This window comes from Homo sapiens, chromosome 11 (genome assembly GCF_000001405.40).
Source record: "Homo sapiens chromosome 11, GRCh38.p14 Primary Assembly".
Classification (NCBI taxonomy): domain Eukaryota; kingdom Metazoa; phylum Chordata; class Mammalia; order Primates; family Hominidae; genus Homo; species Homo sapiens.
Window position 1 is genome coordinate 10,835,521 of NC_000011.10, and position 22,655 is coordinate 10,858,175.

General features: G+C 39.9%; 1 protein-coding gene across 2 annotated transcripts, besides 4 other annotated features; it reads right to left on the minus strand.

Annotated features, from left to right (window-relative positions):
- Positions 3,482 to 3,776: a silencer, noted in NCBI's record as "tiled region #5180; K562 Repressive DNase matched - State 8:EnhW". NCBI's record gives its function as "represses a minimal TATA promoter and a strong SV40 promoter by Sharpr-MPRA in K562 cells {active_cell/tissue: K562}" and the evidence as "EXISTENCE:reporter gene assay evidence [ECO:0000049][PMID:27701403]".
- Positions 13,505 to 13,705: a silencer, noted in NCBI's record as "fragment chr11:10870572-10870772 (GRCh37/hg19 assembly coordinates)". NCBI's record gives its function as "represses an EF-1alpha promoter that drives an FKBP-Casp9 reporter gene in an ReSE screen in HepG2 liver carcinoma cells {active_cell/tissue: HepG2}" and the evidence as "EXISTENCE:reporter gene assay evidence [ECO:0000049][PMID:32094911]".
- Positions 14,349 to 14,549: a silencer, noted in NCBI's record as "peak1197 fragment used in MPRA reporter construct". NCBI's record gives its function as "represses an SCP1 promoter by STARR-seq MPRAs in K562 erythroleukemia cells {active_cell/tissue: K562}" and the evidence as "EXISTENCE:reporter gene assay evidence [ECO:0000049][PMID:32103011]".
- On the minus strand, positions 17,186 to 22,533 carry ZBED5 (zinc finger BED-type containing 5). 2 transcript variants are annotated; one of them, NM_001143667.2, is made up of 3 exons: positions 22,342 to 22,533; positions 20,624 to 20,737; positions 17,186 to 19,566 (listed from the first exon to the last, which is right to left on the minus strand). In NM_001143667.2, exon 3 carries the CDS (start codon positions 19,423 to 19,425, stop codon positions 17,344 to 17,346), a length of 2,082 nt encoding a protein of 693 aa, NP_001137139.1. In that variant the 5' UTR covers positions 19,426 to 19,566; positions 20,624 to 20,737; positions 22,342 to 22,533; the 3' UTR covers positions 17,186 to 17,343. The 2 variants fall into 2 exon arrangements, with proteins under 2 accessions (NP_001137139.1, NP_067034.2); NM_021211.4 differs by having other exon boundaries at positions 17,186 to 19,598.
- Positions 22,199 to 22,578: an enhancer, noted in NCBI's record as "active region_4451". NCBI's record gives its function as "activates an Ori minimal core promoter by ATAC-STARR-seq in GM12878 lymphoblastoid cells {active_cell/tissue: GM12878}" and the evidence as "EXISTENCE:reporter gene assay evidence [ECO:0000049][PMID:35858748]".

The window sequence follows — 22,655 nt, forward strand, 5'->3', positions numbered from 1 at the left end:
AATGTGTCACACAATACAGATAATAAAGGTCTCATCTTGCACAGGGATGGCAATTTTCCTCTTCTCTATCCTATCTCCTATAACTAACTCCAGATTCATATATTGAGTCAGATCCTCACATGCTGTAAGGCAGAGGTCCCCAGCCTGTTAGGATCAGGCTGCACAGCAGGAGGTGAGGGGCAGGTGAGTGAGTGAAGCTTCATCTGTATTTATAGCCATTCCCCATTGCTTGCATGACCGCCTGAACTCTGCCTTCTGTCAGAACAGCAGCAGCATTAGATTCTCATAGGAGCACAAACCCTATTGTGGACTGCACATGTGAGGGATCTAGGTTGCATGCTCCTTATGAGAATCTAATGCCTGATGATCTTCACTGTCTCCCATTACTCCCAGATGAGACCATCTAGTTGCAAGAAAACAAGCTCAGGGCTTCCACTGATTCTACATTATGGTGAGTTGCATAATTATTTCATTACATATTACAATGTAATAATAATATAAAGTGTACAAAAAATGTAATGAGCTTGAATCATCCTACCCCTACCCCTCCCCACCAATCCCCCATACTGGTCCATGGAAAAACTGTCTTCCATGAAACCAGTCCCTGGAAAATGTTGGGGACCGCTGCTCTAAAGGACCAACAATAAAGTAAGTTTGGGAAGAGAAAGATTACATGTCAGAAGAATGGTAAGATTTTGCTAAACTGCATTGGCAAAAAGCTGGAGAATATATGTAGAAATAGACTCTTGAAGATGCAAGATCAAGGAAAAAGGAACATAATTTTGGATTGGGCTGAATGTATTGATATGAGAACATTTGTCTAAGATTCTGGTACTAGTTCAGGTAGCTTTGAGTGTTCTAGTTATGCTCGGTTGATTAATTAAAAACTAGACTCAACTGGTGACTGAAACCAAATAGGATTGGGTTGGCAATAATTTTTTTTTTTTTTTTCTTGAGACAGTCTCACTTTGTCACCCAGGCTGGCGTGCAGGGGCTGGTCTCAGCTTACTGCAACCTCTGCCTCTTGGGTTTGAGTGATTCTCCTGCCTCGCCTCCCAAGCAGCTGGGATTATAGGCATGCACCACTAAACTCAGCTAATTTCTGTATTTTTAGTAGAGATGGGGTTTCTCCATGTTGGCCAGACTGGTCTCAAACTCCCAACCTCAGGTGATCTGCCCACCTCGACCTCCCAAAATGCTGGGATTACAGGCATGAGCCACTGCGCCTGGCATGCCCCAAAATTTTGCTTAACTTTTATTTTAGATCCAGGGGTACATGTGAGGTTTGTTATATAGGTACATTCATGTCACGGGTTTGTTGTGCAGATTATTTTGTCACCCAGGTACTAAGCCAATAGTTATTTTTTCTGCTCATCTCCCTCCTCCCACCTTCCATCCTCAAGTAGGCCCCAGTGTCTGTTGTTCCTCTGTGTGTCCATGTGTTCTCATCATTTAGCTCTCACCTGTAAGTGGGAACGTGCAGTATTTGGTTTTCTGTTCCTGCATGAGTTTACTAAGAATAATGGCCACCAGCTCCATCTACGTTCCTGCAAAAGACATGATCTCGTTCTTTTTCATGGCCACATAGTATTCCATGGTGTATATGTACCACATTTTCTTTATCCAGTCTGTCACTGATGGGCATTTAGGTTGATTCCGTGTCTTTGCTATTGTGAACAGTGTTGCAGTGAACATTTGTGTGTATGTATCTTTATGGTAGAATGATTTATATTCTTCTGGGTATCTACCCAGTAATGGGATTGCTGGGTTGAATAAATGTCTTGATATAATGCTGAAGATAAGCTCCAAAGGCTTAGGAAGAAAGAAGAAAGCAAACTCAAAGTGGGTTTTTTGTTTTTTACGACAGAGCCTTGCTCTGTTGCTCAGGCCGAAGTGCAGTGGCACAATCATAGCTCACTGCAACCTTGAACTCTTAGGCTCAAGCAATCCTCCTGCCTAGGCCTCCCCAAAGCTCTTGGATTACAGGTGTGAGCCACTGTGCCCAGCCTGAAATGGGTTGTTATTTGCATTGGATCATCAACCCCCGTGTCCCCCAAAGGACCTAGAGCACATTATCTTCACACCATAGCATAAATAAATAGACTGGTGAGTATAGTGCAAGTGCCCCTGAACATTACTATAATGGCTGTCCTCTGGGGATAAAGGTTGCATATGTTGGCACTGAAATGGCCTTCCCCCCTCCCCCTTTCTTGTTCTTTTTTCTTTTCTTTGAAATGGGCTTTCCACTTTCAGTGATGGTGAGGGATCCTGAGGTGGTAGAGGCCAGACAGGAGAACATAACTGCCATAGTAACATTATGCACAATTACCAAGAGTGGTAATTGAAAGGTTTGACCTACAGAGATCTTTGACGGTTGCTAATTGATCATAGTTTTTAATACTGAAACAGATGTGTAGCTCACTAAGGACTTAAAGATTTGTGCAAATGAACAAACTCTAGATTAGGAAAACACAGGCCTGACTACAGACACCACTAAAAGTCAGAGCCCACATCTATTTCTATTCCTGGGAAGTTCAGAGACTCAGAATACAGAGTATACTATGTACCTTTGAGAAAGAACTGTGTGATTACATCAAAAGTATCTTTCTCTCAGCCTTCAATCAAAAGGACATATAGCTATTTGCTAGGGTAAAATTGTGCACAGGAGGAAATATCTTGACCTTTAAGGGATTATCAGACACAAGTGTTAATCCTTGGTGACCCAGAATACTATGCTCACAGACTCACTGGTCTTACTGTACATTCCATCATCCAGAAGCAGCTGGTCTTCAGAACTCTTGAACAGCTTTTTGAAGACTCAGTTCCAGCTGTTCCATTTTGTGACTCAGGTACTAAGCCAACAGTTATTTTTTCTGCTCATCTCCCTCCTTCCACCTTCCATCCTCAAGTAGGCACCAGTGTCTGTTGTTCCTCTCTGTGTGTCCATGTGTTCTCAACATTTAGCTCTCACCTGTAAGTGGGAACATGCAGTATCTGGTTTTGTTCCTGCATGAGTTTACTAAGAATAATGGCCACCAGCTCCATCCACGTTCCTGCAAAAGACATGATCTCGTTCTTTTTTATGGCCATTTAGTATTCCATGGTGTATATGTACCACATTTTCTTTACCCAGTCTGTCATTGATGGGCATTTAAGTTGATTCCATGTCTTTGCTATTGTGAACAGTGCTGCAATGAACATTTGTGTGTATGTGTCTTTTGTTTCCCAGCAGGGAAGGAATGCTTTGCAAAGTTAGGATGTCGCCCTATAGCAGAGATTAGCAAATTATAGTCTGAGGGCAAATATGCCCTAAATCCTATTTTTGGACAGATTTTAAGAATTTTTTTTTTACACTTTTTAAGGGTTGTAACAGTAACAACAAAAAAGAATACATGACAGATATCAATCATGTGTGGTCTTTAAAGCTTGGAATATTTATTATCTGGTCCTTTACAGAAAAAAGCATGCCAACTCCTGTGCTACAGCAATGTGCTGTGAACCAGCAACCAACATAAAGCGCGGTTTTTCCCTTATCTATATCTGCTGGGAAACCCAGGCTTGAGATAAACACTTCCCACTACGATACCCACTGATGCACTCAAAATGTTTTGCTTTCTATTTTCACAACTTTGAGCTTTGCCTATGTAGAACTCTTTATCTAAGGGAGACATGCTCTAACCCAGAAAATCCAAGAATGGTTCCTCTTAACTGGAAGTTTATTAACCAGCTGCAGATGCTGGCAGTATGAAGATGGAATAGATAATGAAGGAAGGATATTCTAGTTTACGAGACCAGTTGTAGAAATAAAGATGTAGTAGCTACCCATCTACTTTATTCTATTTTGTATGTATCTATATAGGTTAATCATTCCCATTGACTTGTTTTCTCTCCTCATTTATATAAGGTGTATTTGTAATTTAGCTAATGGTATTGTACTTATGTTTATTAATTTTGATAATTATGCTATAATTATATAATACGTTGATATTAGGGGAAGCTATGTGAAGGTATTGGTACTATTTTTGCAACTTTTCTGTAAGTGTAACTTTATTTATTTATTTTTGAGATGGAGTTTTGCTCTGTCTCCCAGGCTGGAGTGCAATGGTGTGATCTCGGCTCACTGCAACCTCTGCCTCCCGGGTTCAAGTGATTCTCCTGCCTCAGCCTCTTGAGTAGCCCGCCACCACACCTGGCTAATTTTTGTATTTTTAGTAGAGATGGGGTTTTGCCATGTTGGCCAGATTGGTCTCAAACTCCTGACCTCAGGTGATCTGCCCGCCTCAGCCTCCCAAAGTGCTAAGATTACAGGCATGAGTCACCACACCCAGCCAGTCTAACTTTATTTCAAAATAAAAAGTTTACGCTGGGCATGGTAGCTCACACCTATAATCCTGGCACTTTGGGAGGCCAAGGTGGGAGGGCTGCTTGAAGCCAGGAGTTCAAGACTGACCAGTCTTGAACACAGTGAGACCCCATCATAGTGAGACCCCATCTCTATTAAATATATATATATATATATATATATAAAGTTTAAAAATGAGCACAATTATGCAAACATAAATATATGATTTAGAAACACATGAAGTGATGAAATTTTTGATGCAATGTGGAATAAAAAATAAGATGCACTAAAATAATGTTTGCTCCTTTTTTAGATGCAAATGACATTAAATAAATCTTATAAATTACACTAAAGTAATGCCAGGAATTTTTCTTTATAACATTTTAAAAATACATATATATTTAAAAATAGAGACAGGGTCTCACTGTGTTGCCCAAGCTAGTCTTAAACTCCTGGGCTCAAGCGATCCTGCTGCCTCAGCTTCCCAAAGTGCTGGGATTACAGGTGTAAACCGCTGCACCCAGACATGGACTTTTCTTCTATCACTTCTTTAATATTTCCTCCGTAAAATTATTTCATGTGTCTCTCTTTGGAACTATGAGTTACTGGAATCCCTGCATTTATTTTACATGTCTCTGAAATCACCCTCCACCATTATCTTTGTTCTTTTGGAGTAACTCTTTAGCTTACTGTTCCAGTTTTGCTAGTTTGCTCTTCATTGAAGAAGTCCATTCACTGTTTAGTCCACCTTTTAATTTTTAAAAATTATATTGTATTTTATTTATTTATTTTTTGGAGACAAGGTCTGGGTCTATGCCCAGGCTGGAGTGCAGTGGCACCATCTCAGCTCACTGCAACATCTGCCTCCTGGGCTGAAGCCATCCTCCCACCTCAGCCTCCTGAGTAGCTGGGACTACAGGCATGCACCACTACCCCCAGCTAATTTTTGTATTTTTTGTAGAGACGAGGTTTCGTCATGTTTCCCAGGCTGGTCTCAAACTCATGAGCTCAAGCAATCCACCCACCTCAGCCTCCCAAATTGTTGGGATTACAGGTGTGAGCCACCACACCTCGCATAATTTTTTAAAATGGTAACAATCTATTTAACTGGTTCTTTTTCATCATTACAATATTCTCTCCTATTCCTCTGGGGATATTCTGTATACAAACTAAATTTAAAAAAAACATGTGAGGTGCTTAGAAGAATGCCTGACACCACACCAGGATGCACTAATTATTAATAATTATCATTTCACAGATCCTCTTCTGTTTACTCTGAAAACTACTTGCTTTTTGTTTGTTGACTGCTGTCATGCTTTCATGGTACTGGTCTTCCTCCGGCATTTGGTTGTTCCTAATTTTGTTCTCATCTTGTTATTTCCTGTTCTCTGTGTATGAGGCCATTTCTGTTTATCATAGTTTGCTCTAGTGATTGTGAGGGGATAAAATGTAATCCTGGACAGGGTATGCCAGTAGCTAACATTCTGAGTGTGAAATGAGGCTTCCTTTCCTGGACACAGTGTAGCCACTGGGGTACTGCCTGGCTTATTGGCCCCAAGTTTCCAAAGTCACTGTGCTAGCTAGGGGCAAATACCATTCTGAGGTACCCTTGGCTTTGAAGAATGAATGAGGGAAGGAGCCAACCCAACCAGAGGTTTCAAATTCCATTCCCCAAAAGTTATCCTTTATAGTTGCTCTAGGACGCTATGCCATCCCCACCCCTGCCTTCTACTCCCCTACTCCATCTATCTCTTTTCTTTAATCTATCACTTCTGAGCCTGAATTATTACACTGCCAATTTGATCCCATCTCCCTTCTTTCAGAGACTTCTCAAAATTCCAAGTCTGCTGGTAATTTGGACTCTGATAATCTTTAATAATCTTGAACAGACTGGGCGTGGTGGCTCAAGTCTATAATCCCAGCATTCTAGGAGGCCGAGGCAGAATTCCTTGAGGCCAGGAATTTGAGACTAGCCTGGGCAAAATAGCAAGACCCTATCTCTACAAAAAGTTGATAATTAGCTGAGCATCGTGATGCACACCTATAGTCCTAGTTACTCAGGGGGCTGAGGTGGGAGGATTACTTGAGGCCAAGAGTTTGAGGTGGCAGTGAGCTATGAAGGCATCACTGCACTCCAGCCTGGAGTGAGATCCTGTCTCTTAAAAAAAAGGGAGGGCTTTAAAAAAAAAAAAACACAGTGCCTTGGCCACCTGATAAATTCAGATTCATGGTTCAAGACTCAAATACAGCATTTATCTCTATGAATTTGTCTTTGACTCATACTTCATCATATTTTTCTCTGAACTTACATAGATCCTTGTATAAATCTTTATTGTTATTTATAAATGTCTGTCCCTGTACCCCATTAAACTGTGAATAAATTAACAAATGAAAAAAATGCTCTCCACAGGTCTATTAGTAATACTAGCATATCCACCAGATTATTTTCCTTAGATGGTCTTGCTGACAGGTAACTTCTACTTTGTGTGTTTTTAAAAATATGAACTAAAACTTGGAATTTATTATCACAGACCAAGAATGAAAAAGATTTAACTGTCCCTATCTATTAAGAAAATTGATTAGGATGAACAATCCTAAAAAACATTAGAATGAAGGTAACTTATTCTATGACACAAAACAAACTTTTTTTTGAGAGAGTCTTGCTCTGTTGCCCAGGCTGGAGTGCAGTGGTGTCATCTCTGCTCACTGCAACCTCTGCCTCCCGGGTTCAAGCAATTCTCCTGCCTCAGCCTCCTGAGTAGCTAGGATTACAGGTGCGCAGCACTGCACCTGGCTAATTTTTGTATTTTTAGTAGAGACAGAGTTTCACCATGGTGGTCAGGCTGGTCTTGAACTCCTGACCTCGTAATCTGCCTGTCTCGGCCTCCCAAAGTGCTGGGATTACAAGCATGTGCCACCGTGCCTGGCCAAACATTTTTAATGCTTTAGAAAAATTCATCTCTAGTCAAGTTTATGCTAACCATAAACATAATATAAAAATTACATACAATTCTATGTATTCACTGAGAGAAGAGCAACAAATGGAAATACTGTGTGCTTTGAAGTCAGACAGATGTAACCTGGAATCTCAGGTTTGTTACTCATTAGCTTTGTAAAACTGGATAAACAACTTGAGCACCCTGATCCTGAGGGAGACGCCTTCTAAAGTGGCTCACTGTGATTTCCGCCTCCTGGTATTCACACTCTTGCATAATACCTTCCCCTTGAATATGGGCTGGACCTAGTGACTTGCTTTTAATGAATAGAACATAACAAAAATGATGGGATGTCACCTCCAAAACTAGGTTACAAAAAATTATGATTTTGGTCTTACTGGTGCTTTCTCACTTGTTCACTTTGATGAAACCTGCTGGAATGTTGTGAGCTGCCCTGTAGAGGTCCATGTGTCAAGGAACTTCCAACAGCCTGCAAAAAACTGAATCCTGCCAACAGGAGTAAGCTTGGAAGTGGATCCTTCACTAGTGGAGTCTTTTTTTTTTTTTTTTGAGACGGAGTCTCGCTCTGTCGCCCAGGCTAGAGTGCAGTGGTGCAATCACGGCTCACTGCAAGCTCCGCCTCCTGGGTTCATGCCATTCTCCTGCCTCAGCCTCCCAAGTAGCTGGGACTACAGGTACCTGCCACCATGCCCGGCTAATTTTTTGTATTTTTAGTAGAGACGGGGTTTCACCGTGTTAGCCAGGATGGTCTCGATCTACTGACCCCGTGATCCTCCCACCTCAGCCTCTCAAAGTGCTGGGATTACAGGCGTGAGCCACCGCGCGCGGCTCTAGTGGAGTCTTGAAATGACTGCAGCTCTTGCTAACACCTTCATCGCAGCCAGTGAGAGACTCTGAAGCTAAGCTCCACCTGATTCCTGACGTATAGCAACTGTGAGGTAATAAATGTTGATGTTTTAAGCCACTATGTTTTGGAGCAATTTGTTAAGCAATAGGTAACTAACACATAGCCTTTGTTTCTTCATCTCTAAAATGGGATTGATAGCTTACCTCACAGAGTTGTTATCATGATTAAATGAAATACATATATAAAGCATCTGGCATCCAATATGTGATCAAAAAGAACAAAACAAAAAAGGTAACTATTATTAACTCAAGTCTACTAAAAATCTCTACCAGGTAATATTGTGTTATAACATTGTTAGTATTAAAATAATGATATTTGATAATGCTATAACATTTTACATAGGGATTTTACATGTATTACATTATTTGATTCTCAGAGCAGGGCTGTAAAACACAGAATAAAATATTATTCCTCTTAAAAGAGAGGAAGAAACTGAGGGTGAGAGAACTTAAGTGACTTGAACAATGGTCCAGACTAGAAAGTGTCAAAGAGTTCAGAGTCAAACCTAGTCCTTTTCCCACCACTAACATATCGATACTAAACACCCATTTAATGAACTATTAGGCATCAGGCATTATTTTAGGCCCTGAGAATACAGAGGTAGATAAGAAAGTCAAGGTTCCTGCCCTCATAGATCTTACATTCCCTGTTCTACTCTATAGAATTGGAAATAACAATTTAAACTTTTCATTAAACATTTCTTTAGTCTGAATTAGCATGTTTTAAAATATTTTATGACTTGGAAATGCTACACTAACTTTGTCCAGATTCCTAAGTCCATTTCACTAGCAGTGATGTAATACAAGGCAGAGGCATGGTTGTATGTTTCAGTGTTTGACTGGCTAAATACCAAGTAAATGCTCCATACATACACCAAACAATTGTTCATTGATTTTCACAATAGAGTTTGTGTCTTGAACTTCAAGCCTTAACAAAGGTTTGATAAGCACTATTCATCTCTCATCTTCTTGCATAAAGTTTAGTTGGTGAAATTCTGCCTTTTTTCCTAGAGTACAAAATTAAGCAGAAATAGAATAGGTAGAGTTTAGGGTGCTGCACTATTTAGGAATTGCTGGAATTACTTGATGCATGCAGGAAAAATGTGAGAACTTCATAACTGGTAGTCTATTGTGAAAATATTATTGTAGTAGGACTCAAAACAGACTAGAGTTCTATATTATATTTGACTGGATACTGAAGCCTGAGAGCAGCTTATTTTCTAAAATAAGTACACAGTATGACTGTCAGAAGTGTTTGCCCCTCTCCAAAGTCTTTTTCTGAAAAGGAATGTTGGCTTAGTTCCTGATGACAGCTGAGTGGCCAAATTATGGTGCTTTAATAGACCATAAATATTTTAAAAAGCTGAGATGGGTATTTGCAAAGTGAGTTTCTGTTAAGGTACATGTATTCTACAGCCATCTTCACTCCTGCCTTTCAAAACAGGCAGTTGGTTGAGGAAAAAAAAAGATGCATAAATGTTGCTGAATGAACCTGGGAAAATCTGTCAAGAATTCCAAAAACTTTGAGACTGACAATACACCATTTTTTACATCTTAGAGTATAAGAAGTGATGTCTAACCTTTGCATTTATACATCTAAGAATAGCAAAAACACTTTGCACTTTAAAGGCCTCCTATAAAGTCCCAAAGTGCTTCCGGACGGTTAGGTGATTCTTCCATAGCTATAAAATGGTTGTTAATTGCCTAACAACTAGCAAGTGCTCTGGAAATGGACATCCAGAGTGATCCTTAAAATATTATTTTAGTAGCATTGAGAAAAGCCTTGAAAAATAAAATCTTATTCTGTTATTCCAAGCTTACTCAGTGCTATATTATTCAGATCAGGGTTCCCCTTACACACTTTGGGCAGGATGATAGGGGCTACTTCTCTATATGAAGTCTTGAAATCATATGATTCAAGGTGATTCAAGGTGGAGGGAATTTAAAAATTAAAAAAATAATTCCAACAGTGAAATTCCTAAGGGTGAGTCTTTGCTCTTCTACCCACTAAGAATTCCGGCTTCCTCTTCCCAAAAGAACAGAAGAGTGGGGAAAGATTTGTGACAGCCAAAAGGACATGGTGTAGCAAGCCAACTTGGAAGAGTTACTGGAGATGGCTTAGCAAATATTCATGCCTTTACTCAACTAAAACAAAAACAAAACAAGTCAAATTTGGGCATTTTTTATAGATCACAGGCTTTTGTTTGATCAATGCACTACATTTCTTTATGACAAAAGGTAACGACAATGATTTTGCATATTCCCAAATTTGGATAGTTGTCCAATTTAACAGTCTCAAGGAGCCTAACATGGTGCTGTGTGGGATGAAAAGAGGTTCAAAGTATGATCCCTGTCTTAAAATTAAGATACAGAATCTTCCAATTAATATGTATATTTTCTAAAGTGGAGTCCTTAAACTGCTGGATCTCCTCAGAAGTCTTTTGAGGGTCCCAATATCATCCAAGCTTTGAGTTTCTCAAAAGAAAGAGTATATGATACTAATAGGTCTACAATACTCGTTACAATAGCTCTTCCCTCAATTCCCTTATACATTTCTAAATACTCCCTAAAGGAGGTAACCTAACCCTCACCCCTTCCCCGTGTTTAAGAACCACAGTGGCTTCCCAACACAGTTGAAATAAAATCCAAACCCCTTACACTGGCCTGTAAGACCCTCAGTGCCCTGCCTCCTTCCTACCTACTGACAATTTCTATGATGCATTCCTCAGACACACCTCACTCTTTCCTGCATCAGGGTATTTGTACTTGCTTTCTTTCCCTCTGGAATATTCTTTCCCCAATCTTCATTTGATTGGCTCCTTCTTATTACTGAGGTCTCAGCTCAAATGTCATTTCCTTGGAAATACCTTCTTAGATCACTCGCAGTAAGGACCCTCCTTCATTTACTCTCTTTTGAAAAAATTTCCTTGTAGCACTTATTATTGTCTGTCTCTCCCACTAGAATGTAAATTCTTTGAGAGCAAACATAACTTTTTTGCTTCTTGGTGTTGCTATAGATTTAGTCTAAGTTTGATATTTCTTTCAGCATGCCTGAAATTTTAGCAAGTTAGAGACAAATGTAGGCACTCAGGTTACCATATAAGGCCTCTGCCCTCTTTGTTGTGTTGTGGCTTTAACCACTAGCTGGGTAGCTAGAGTGGCATTATTCTTGCTCTCACATACACAGGACACTTATCTCTTCCTTAAGAGTGAGGAAGCATCTTTTTTTAAAGCCCCCATACTATTGCCCTTGCTTTTCTCTGGTTTGTATTGAGTCACATAGTATTCCTGGACCAATTCTGTGGTCAGAGTAATACCATACCTCCAGTAGGCTTTTATCCAGGTTTCTCAACAATTTTTCTAAGGGAAATTGCATTACACTCATCAGTGTCTTTCAAACAGTGGTCCATAACCTGAGAATGAATTAGGAAATTAACTCTTGGGTTATAACCATTACTTAAAAAATTAGACTATTAAATTTGAAACTGCATAACATATATGACGAGTTAATACTGTTTTATGAAACTTTGGTGTATACACACAAACACACCTGGATCACCATATAAAATCTACTTGTGGATTGGAGTCAAAAAAAGCTTGAAAGCTACCATCTTGGACAAAACAGGTTGACTCCTAAAGCTGGAGTAGGGTCAGCTTCAGATTATGTAGGGAAAGAATGGACACCTGAAATAAAATCAGGGTATGATTTAGAAGAGGAAAATACATGCTGAGGAGATAGCTAACAATTTCCGCTACAGCCTGCTTGATACTTTAGTTACTGTATTCCAATACAGTCATAACCAAACATTTTCATTTCCCCTCCAATGTCTTCTAAATTTCAAAGTATTTATCCATTCCAAAAAAGCACTTCATTCTTTCCATCCAACAAGTATCCATGATGGGGCAACTCATAAATTTTATCATTTGGTTGGTGGAAAGTGTACATCTTATCACCCTAATCTTTACTTATGTTTAAATTTTGATCTTATGTGATAGGAACTTTAGAACTCAGCCCATTTATTTATTTATTTTTTTGAGACAGGGTCTCATTCGGTCACCCAGGCTGGAGTGCAGTGATGCAATCACAGCTCACTGCATTCTCTATCTCTTGGGCTCAAGTGACTCTCCCGCCTCAACTCCTGAGTTGCTAGAACCACAGGCATGCACCACCACTCCTGGCTAATTTTTTTATTTTTGTAGAGACAAGGTCTCGCCATGTTGCCCAGGCTGGTCTTGAACTCCTGGGCTCAAGCAATCTTCCTACCTCAGCCACCTGAATAGCTAGGAATACAGGTGCAAGCCACCATGCTCAGCTAATTATCAATTTTTTTTTTAGAGATGGGGTCTTGCTATGTTGCCCAGGCTGGTCTTGAATTTCTGGCCTCAAGGAATCCTCCCACCTCAGCCTCCTGAATAGCTAGGACTACAGGTGCAAGCCACCATGCTCAACTAATGATCATTTTTTTTGTAGAGATGGGATCTTGCTATGTTGCCCAGGCTGGTCTTGAATTATTTTTGGCCTCAAAGAATCCTCCTTTGGCCTCTCAAAGTGTTGGGATTACAGGTGTGAACAACCACGCCAAGCCGAGAGCTCATTCTAGTTCAACATCTTTCACTTAAGAAACTAAGGCCTAGAAAGGGGAGTGAACTTACCTAAGGCAGTTAATTAGTAGCAGAACACGTCTCTTGACACCCACTTAAGAATTCTTTCCATTGTACTAATTAACAGTATACTTATGCCAACTTTTAAAAATAAAGGTAAACAAACATGTAAGTTCCAGAGGCAGCTAGGTTTACATAGCTAACAAATTCTTTCAAGAATTGTAGGTGACTTATATTTGGGGCAGCAAAGCTGCATTTTTAAGGCAACAGGGGAATTTATTAAAGAAATGCTGCTGGCTGGTGGCTCATGCCTGTAATCCCAACACTTTGAAAGGCTGAGGCAGGAGAATGGCTTGAGGCTAGGAGTTCCAGGCCAGTCCAGGTAACATACCAAGACCCAGTCTCTGCAAAAATAATAATAAAAAAGCTAGGCATGGTGGTCCATACCTGCAGTCCTAGCTGCTCAGGAGGTTGAGGTGGGAGGACACCTTGAGCCCAGGAGTGAGGTTACAGTGAGCTATGATTGTGCCACTGCACTGCAGCTGGGATAAGAGATCCTGTCTCTAAAAAAAGAAATATTGCTTTTGAAGTGTTTGAAGGGCAAAGACTAGTTACTGCCTTATCTGTTTAAGTGAGGTTAAGGCAACCAGCATGCATCACCACACACAGCTAATTTTTGTATTTTTTTGTAGAGATAGGACTTCGCCATGTTGCGCAGGCTGGTCTCGAACCCGTGAGCTCAAGTGATCTGCCCATGTTGGCTTCCCAAAATGCTGAGATTAGAGGCGTGAGCCACTGCACTGGGCCAAAGTTAATTTTCGTAATGTTACATATAGTAGGAATTGTGTTTTACCTTAATACTTCACTTTTTAAGCTAGGAAACTCAATTCACTGTTTACTTTTTATATTATTAGAAATTTACCAAGATTTATGAATGACACATCATACCCACAAAAAGCTTATGGTGTATTTTTGTATGTGGGGTGGTAGGGCAAGTCTAACTTATGAAATAATCATAATTAAGAAATCAAGGCAATTTCAATTATTGTAAATATAGGGATTAAAAGTGGGAAAGTCCTTTTGCGTTGGACACAAGAGGGGCATTTTACTGTTTTATGCATGAGTTGGAAGAGTAGCTATCATTTGAGGGTGCCATGAGAATGTAATTTAGTCCCCAAATAGCTCTTCCATTTATTAAATGGAATGCCATTCATTTCTTCCTCTAAGAGTTGTTCTCTCTTTTATGTGAAAGGGTTTGTCAGAGGTTTCCCTCCAGCTCCAGAGAGTGCTTCATTATTACAGTCTCAGGGACATTACAGTGGCAGAAGGGTAACCAAAGGGCTTTGGAAGTATGGAAGAAAGGGAGGCTGGCAGTGCTTGTTACTTGGTTTCCTTTGGTTTTATTTAGAGAAAAAAAAGCCAATTCTGAAGGGTAGGTAGGGTTTAAATACAAAGGAAAAGAATCTTCTCTTTGGGATTCAGTCACGGTAACTACATTTAGGTTAGGGTAATCTAGAACTAGTTGCTATCTGGAACTCGACTTGTCTGTTGTCCACCAGACCCACCTTCACGTACTAAAAGTCCATTCTCACTAGCTGTGCATGGTATCCATAATTTAGTCCTGATACGTTACAGATGAGGTGAACAGCTGGCATCAAGAACCAAAATGGGTACGGTCAGCATTAAAAAGGTCTAGTAGCAGACAGCAGGGTCTCAGATAATGGACTTGGACTTAAGAGCAGGAATCTAGTCTCCAAGGAGGTTAGGGGAAAAGGACTGGAAAACAAGAATGGTTTTATATTTTAAGAGGCTGACATCTTGGACAAATAATCTAATGAAGGGCTCGAACTCAGCAATCGCAGGAGTCTAGTTACCAGGCTTGAGGTATATGCTGGACACAGATATTAAGGAACTGCACATCCTTCTCAAACTAGGGTATAATTCTGGGACTAGTAAATAAAAAGCATTGCATATATAAGAAATTATGATACATCTTCTAAGGAATTAGTAGTTGACAGCAATTTACTCTATATTTTACATGAAAATTAGTCATATTTTAAATTAGCCAATTTCGGTGAATTTAGAAGTAAACACAAGACTTCAAAGAAATGTCCAGATTCTAGTAGGCAGTTTCAGGCTGTACTTCCAAGTCACTGTTTGTCTTAGAAAAGTTCAGAAGGCAATGATGGGAAAAAGCTCTGTATTTGGGAAAGACTTACTTTAAACTAAATCCTGCTAATTACCTATGACCTAGGTCAAGTCCAAAAATGACTGAATCCCATAAGATTGTTGTAAAGATTATAGATAAATACAAAGCAACTATTAAAGTGCCTGACAGGCTGGGCGCAGTGGCTCACATCGGTAATCCCAGTGCTTTGGGAGGCCTAGGTGGGCGGATCACCTGAGGTCAGGAGTTCAAGGTCAGCCTGGCCAACATGGTGAAACCCCGTCTCTACTAAAAATACAAAAATTAGGCCAGCTGTGGTGGCTCATGCCTGCAATCTTAGCACTTTGAGAGGCCGAGGCGGGTGGATCACCTGAGATCAAGAGTTCGGGACCAGCCTGGCCAACATGCAGAAACCCCGTCTCTACTAAAAATACAAAAATTAGCTGGGTGTGGTGGCACGTGCCTGTAATTCCAGCTACTCGGGAGGATGAGGCAGGAGAATCGCTGGGGGATGGGGGGCGGGCGGGGGGTGGGGACTGAAGTTGCAGTGAGGTGAGATCACGCCACTTTACTCCAGCACAAACAAAATTAGCTGGGGGTGGTGGTGCACACTTGTAATCCCAGCTACTTCGGAGGCTGAGGCATGAGAATTGGTTGAACTTGGGAGGCAGAGGTTGCAGTGAGCCAAGATCGCGCCACTGTAATCCAGCCTGGGTGACAGAGCAAGACTCTGTCTCAAAAAATAAATAAATAAAATAAAGTTCCTCACAGACAAATAAGTGCTTAATAAGGCAACAAGGAGGAAAAACCTGGGCTAGAAGTATGTAATCTTGTTGCCTTGGATCAGGAAATGTCCCATGGTCTAGTAAACTGTTGAGTCTCCAGAGAATAAAAATCCAGATTAGAAGTGTGAAGTGTAGACTCAACTTTAACTGGAACATAGTTGGATATGGCAGAGAACTAATATATGCTGTACACCTACTCCTGATCATCAACTGTTAGGAGCTTTATATTTATACATTCACATTTAATCTTGATAACAACCCTTCAAAGGAGGCGTAATTGTAATTTTATAGATGAAACAACTGAGGTTCAAGTTCAGATTACCGTACATTACAAAGTAAAGTAGGTACTTGAACCTAGTCATTTTACCACATTCTGCCTTAATGGTGGGGGGTGGTACCTTTACTCCCTAAAATGGAAGTTTCAATAAATGAGATTAAATAATGGTTATCTACAGTAGTTCTTGACTACAGGAGTAACAAATATTTAACACTGAGTTGGTGAACTGTGTTGCATGACGTGATGTAGGAAAAGTAGCCCAGAGACAGGAAATTCAGTCAGGAAATTTTTACAGTATTATAAGAACAAACTGATTTCTGGTCTAAGCATCTCTGACTACAGTAAAGTCTCATTAATTTATACTGCATGTGGAATTTACAATAATCTATATAGGAACTGAGAAAAAAACAAAGTATCTGAAAATACTCTTCACACTTCATCCCCTCTCCCTCAATAGTTCAGCCTGAATCATAAAACTATGACATTCCTCGATGACCTCTGCATAATGGCCACACTGAACTCTAGTTAATAGAGTAAGTGAGCCAAAAAACCCAAAGGGTAGCAGTGTGTACACCTGCTACCATACCAATCAATGAATGTAGGAAATCCCCCATTCCATTTTTTGTTGGTTCACTTTCACCAACATGTTTTTCCTTTACTGAGCATCTAATTTAGTAAAGCCTTTTTCCAGATTATGGAGACACAGATTTGGATAAGACTCAATAAGACTCTCTAAGAGCTTAGTCTGAAAACATTGGGAACCGTGAGACCATCAAGGAGTTCACAGTTGAGACAGACACAAACATTAAATACAAGTGTGAAACAGCATCAAAATAGGAAGATACAGAGAATGAAAGTACCTACAAGTCAAAGTGTTGAAGCAAATAGGAGCCTACCAGAAAGTAAGATGGGGACAGAATCGCTTTTTGAGACCTGAAACGATAAAACAGTGTGATATGTTTAGGGAATGGCAAGAAGTTCCATGGGATTGGAGAGCTGCAGAGTAGACACGGAAAGATTGGTAGGGATTAGATCCTGAAGAGATATGTTAAGGGACTGGGACTTTATCTTGGGGATCATTATTTCCCAGTTATGATCATGGAACTCTTTAAAATTACAATGTAAAGAAATACCAATAATAACACAATATGTTTAAAACGTTTGATTCTTTAGCCTTCTTAAAATCTAAATAGTATAAAAAAATGGAATCATTTTATTTAAATCCCCCAAATACCAGAGATGAAGTAAATCATCTTTTATTTTCATCTTACATTTGGTTATCATGAGACATGCAAACTCCTCCAATTTTAATGAGAACAGTGTTTTTGTGTCTTTTTATCACATATCCGCTTAATATTAGGTGTAATATTGCTAAGTCGGATTCGCATATGAGGTGCAGCATCAAGTCTTTTCCTATATTTTGTTTTTGTTGCAGCGTAATATGAAAACCCCGTTTCACACAGGTGCATTGTAGCAAAAGGAAGAAGTACACGCACTGCACGCCTTGCAATGCTTGGGTATTCCTGAATTAGGCTACTCCAAAAATCATTTAGTGAAAGTTCACTAAAATTTTGCTTCACTTGAGAATCAGATGTTAAATCAATCAGGCTCTCATAGTCCCGTGCTACTAATGAAGCTGGTTTAACAGTAACTGTAAATGGATTTCTAACCCAAGCATTATTGTCATTTGTTACAGGAAAGTATTTTAACAGAGTAGCGCGCAAACCCCTTAGGTGCTGCACAATGGCACTGCAAATATCTTTATCAACTGTAGAATTAATTTCAGTCAAAAAATCACTGAGTGTAGGAAAACAATCAAAGTTTTCTTCTTCTACAGATGAGGCCCAAAATTCCAATTTTCTTAACAATGACGACATTTTATCAAATACTGTAAAAACGGTCACATTTTTTCCTTGCATTGACAAATTAACTTCATTTAATTTAGTAAAAATATCTGCAAGATATGCAAGTCTTAGCAGCCAAGATGAATTTGTTAAACAATCAGATAGTCGAAAAGCAGAATCCATGAAAACCAAAAGTTCACGACGAAGTTCAAAAAGTCTTACAAGAACTTTACCTCGAGAAAGCCACCTCACCTCTGTATTTAGAAGAAGTGCTGTGTGCTGAGCACCCATTTCCTCACATAAAATTTTTAATAGTCTGGATTGATGTGGTCGAGCTTTAATATAATTGATGATTTGTACTGCCTGGTCTAGCACATTTTTTAGAGATGTAGGCATTATTTTAACTGCCAGTGCATGTCTGTATAATAGGCAGTGACTACTGGTGCTTTCGGGAGCCACATATTTTATTAAGGTGACAGCTTCGGCAATTTTCCCATCCACTGCCCTAGAAGCATCACTACAAACATCAACACATTTTTCCCATTCAATTTCATGTTTCTGCATAAAACTGTTGATACAGTTGAATATTTCTTCACCGGTAGCATTACTTTGCAAAGATTCACACAGGAGTAGGTCTTCCTCAATAGACTTATTAAACCTATAACGAACAAACACAAGCAGCACAGCAAGTCCTGAAACATCAGCTGATTCATCTAGTTGCAGTGAAAACCCATCGCAAATTTTCAGTCTACAAACAAGCTCTTCTTCAATGTCAGCAGCTAGATCCTTAATTCGACGTGCAACAGTACTGTTTGATAGCTGTACTGCATCTATTTTTTTACTATATTGTTCATCAAACATCCGCATCACTACATCTTTTGCACAAGGTTTGATAAGCAATTCTCCAATAGTATGAGCCTCTCCACTCAGCGCTATATGGTAACTTACATTGTATGATGCTTCTGTAGCACTTTCATTATCTGTATTCACAATTTTAGGTGTTGGGGGTTTATTATTTTCAGGTGAATCGAGATGTTGCTTGAAAAAGCTTATGTCTTTGTCTTTATATGCAGCATGTTTAGTTTCCAAATGTCTTCGAAGCTTACTAGGGGCTAAAGAGCTATTTGATAAAATTTTCTTACATAATACACACTGAGCATGAGGTGCATCTCTATTTCCGAAGTAAGTAAATCCAAAAGACAAATAACTTTCATCATATTTTCTTCTTTTTGGTTTTTTACTAAATGTTATTTTGTTGGAATTGGATATAAATTTGACCCTGGAAAGCTCACCTTCTGATTTTTTAGAAACTGAAGGTTGCAACTGCTTATCTTCACTTTGTAATATTCCAACCTTCTGATCATTTGATTCAGACACAATCTGATAACAGAAAGATTCCACTTCTTGTTTAAGACTTCCTTGTTTCAGCAACAGATCCATGGGCAATGAGTTTGTGGTACAAAACATGGTTAATTTAGAATAGACATTGAGTATCGCAAATGTGTTGAAATTATAAGACAGGATACAAAGAAGAGGAGCAATCATCAAAGAGATGATATACAGCAACACATCAGTTAATTTGTAAATGCTGCCTATTCATCAATGCGCAGATGGAACATCATACGTTCATGTATCAGGTGATCTCTCATGCGACTTCCTGGTGCTCTCAGGTATGGTACACCTTTTCTTAAAGGTAGATTATCACATAAAAATAAAAGCTATAGAAATGAGTTTAGCAGTCTTAATCTCATATTTAAATAAACATATTAAAATCAACCATAAAGAAAAACCAATATTAGCATCAATCATTTTCTCAAAACATTTATTAACTTAGAGAATATTAATATTCTATAAAACATAATTTGGGAATCACTGAGCCAATAAATTATTAAGAGTTGTTATACATATTTTTAAGAAAGGGACCCTGAAGAATATGTCCCATGGCAGGGGTTGGCAGGCTTTTTTTGGTCAAGGGCCATATAGTCTCTGTTGCAACTACTCAACTCTGTAGTTGTAACATGACAGCAGCCATAGACAATACATGAAAGAATGGACACAGGTGTGTTCCAATAAAACTTTACGTACAAAACCAGACAGCATGGGCCATAATTTATCAGCCCTGTCTCATGGTATGTAGTATTGTGAAATCTCTTTTAGCTTTTGATGCCTACTGTCATTAGATGTATTAGTTGTTGATACTATTATATATCTGAAGTCCCTTCAGGGCTAGCAACAATTCTGAAGAAGTGAATTAAACACACACACAGTTCCAAGTTTTGCGAGATACATAATTCTACTGTATCCTAAATGTTATGCGTTAACAATGAAGAATAAATTGTATATCAAAAGTTAGGTACTGTTTCTCTGGACTTAAATTATATAAACGTTTATATTATCCAAATTAAGACTCAATGAAAGTAATGTATATTTTTACAGATAACTCTGCATTCTATTTATACAACAGGTGACGACTTAACCAGGACCTAAAAAAAAAAAATAAACTCTCATTTAAGAGGTTTATTTCTCATATAATAAAACAAATCAAAATTAAAAGGATAATGCAATCTAAGGATTGCTAAAGAATACTATTAACTCTATAAATCAAGGCATACAAATTATGTCTGTCCAAATATAGCTACTTTTGATTTAAACTTTATAACCTGGCTATAGAGTAAGTTTTGTATTCTCATGTTAGATCTTGAGTCAAAATGGTTCTCCTATTAAGGGGTAGAGGATAAGATACCTGAAATAAGGTGTTCTCCTTTCTGTAATCCCTCTCTCCACCTTGGCAGCTTGAAATGCACTCTTCAAAAGAATAAAATTAAGGGATGGGGTGGGAAGGGGAGTAACCAAAAGCCTAGAATGAGAAAAATTAAAATTAGATACAGTAACAAGCAGAACTAACTATAAACCCGTAAGATGGGTTTATTCTTTCTGGATCTAAGCAGTGAAAATGATTCTTTACTGCAATGCAGATCTTGGACTGAAAGAGAAGACGCCTAGCATAGTAAAAATTCTAACATTTTCATCCTGTTCAATATCTTGGCAATTTAGATGCTTTGAGATGTTCCCCCACCTACTGACTTCATAGAAACATGTTAAAACAACACCACCACCACACTTTCTAGAACTTGAAACTAAGCCTAATTTTTAAAAGTACAACCTCATCAATGTCTCTAAAACTAGGTCTTGAATCTAAAATGGAATTATACATAGAACTATTACATGAAGCAGTTCTTTCACTACAATCATTTTTAGCCCCCCAGTGACCAATCTCCTCAGGTAAACAATGTCTAATGACTGATGATTGTTTACTGTATGCCAATTACTGCTAAATCCCTCATATAGATTATCTCATCTATGAAGACACAAGGATTATTAATAACCCCACTTTAGAGATAAACAGACACAGGTTAACACATCTCGCTAACACCTCTTGTAAGTGAAAAACCAAGTTCAGAGCCCAAAAAGTTTGACTGCATAGCCCATGTGTCTAGCCATTACTTGGGTGTTCCTGAATACTTTTAATTCCCCAACTACTAAAAAATCTCGTTACTAGGAGTTGGGTTATGCAGCGAAACGGATGAACAATGGATTATAACTGCCAGAAAGTCGAGGGTCTCATACTAGCAACAGCATAAAGCCCTGCTTCTTATTGGGAGCAAAAAAGCAGATTCTCCTTCCACAGTCTCCTTTTGGATTTTGCAACGGAGAACTCTGTGGAGCTGCTGGTTCACGTAAAAGATCAGGATCCCTCTCGTTGCCAGAGGACACAGAAGAGTAGGAAGCTTTTGTTTTCAGAAAGAAGGTCCTCAACCCCACCTCTTCGAAGGTGTTTCCCCGAATTTCTCGAGGACAAAGAATCTGGACTCCTTTGAGAGTAAAGTTTCCTTTCCACTCCCTGAAGAGCGGGGAAAACTTCCGTCTTTAGTCTCCTTCCGGTTAAACTGACAAGTATCACAATCCTTTCTCCCCTATCTTCGGGCGGTTCCGGCTGGGAACAATACCCTCAGGGTCAGGAGGACAGGATCTGAGTGCAGGCCAGCCAAAAAGGTGGGAACAGATGCTCCTTCCAACACCTAAATGCTTTTTTAAACGGTCACCTGGATGTGCAGCCAGGGCCAACTATCCCTCAGCTCCTCCCTGTCACAGGTGCGCGCTGCCCACAGATTGCCACGACTGGGGGGCTCCCTACCAGTCGCAGCCCACCCTCGCCTCAGGTCTTCTCTCGCGTCCCCGGGCGGCCGCCTGCGCTAACGACCACATGAAAACGTCTCAGCACCCAACACCATCTCTCTATTTCATCTCCATCAGCGATGGAGAGAACGGATTTTGCCGCGGCTGGGCTGCACAGCAGCGCCGCGGTCCACAGCAGAGCCCGCGACCGCCATCTTAGGCAGTTCCAGGAAGCGGCCATTTCAGAGCGCACCGCTTAGCCGCGGCGGCGGCTCTGCTTCTCACCTTCACCGAGGCCTGAACAGGGTCAACAGCCAGTCGTCGTGGACTGGAGGGGGAGGGGAGAGAGGGAGGGGAATGAAAAACAAAACAGAGAGGAAAGAAGGATTCGGGGACAGGGTGATGCTCTCAGCTCAGGGATATCGCCTAGGCCATCTCCATAGAGATCCGATTCGCGGCTGGCGCGGTCGCCGGTCTGAAGATAAATTTAGCACTCTAGAGCACCCGAACCCTACAATCTTCACGAGCGACTCTGCCGCCGCCCAATCAGCGCCAGATTTGCGTCCCGCCACCAATCCGCGCTGAGCAGCGGGGCGGGA

What these genes read in the sequence shown, in the direction of transcription:
- ZBED5 (NM_001143667.2), bottom strand. Translation starts at nt 19,425, where the DNA reads ATGATTGCTCCTCTTCTTTGTATCCTGTCTTATAATTTCAACACATTT.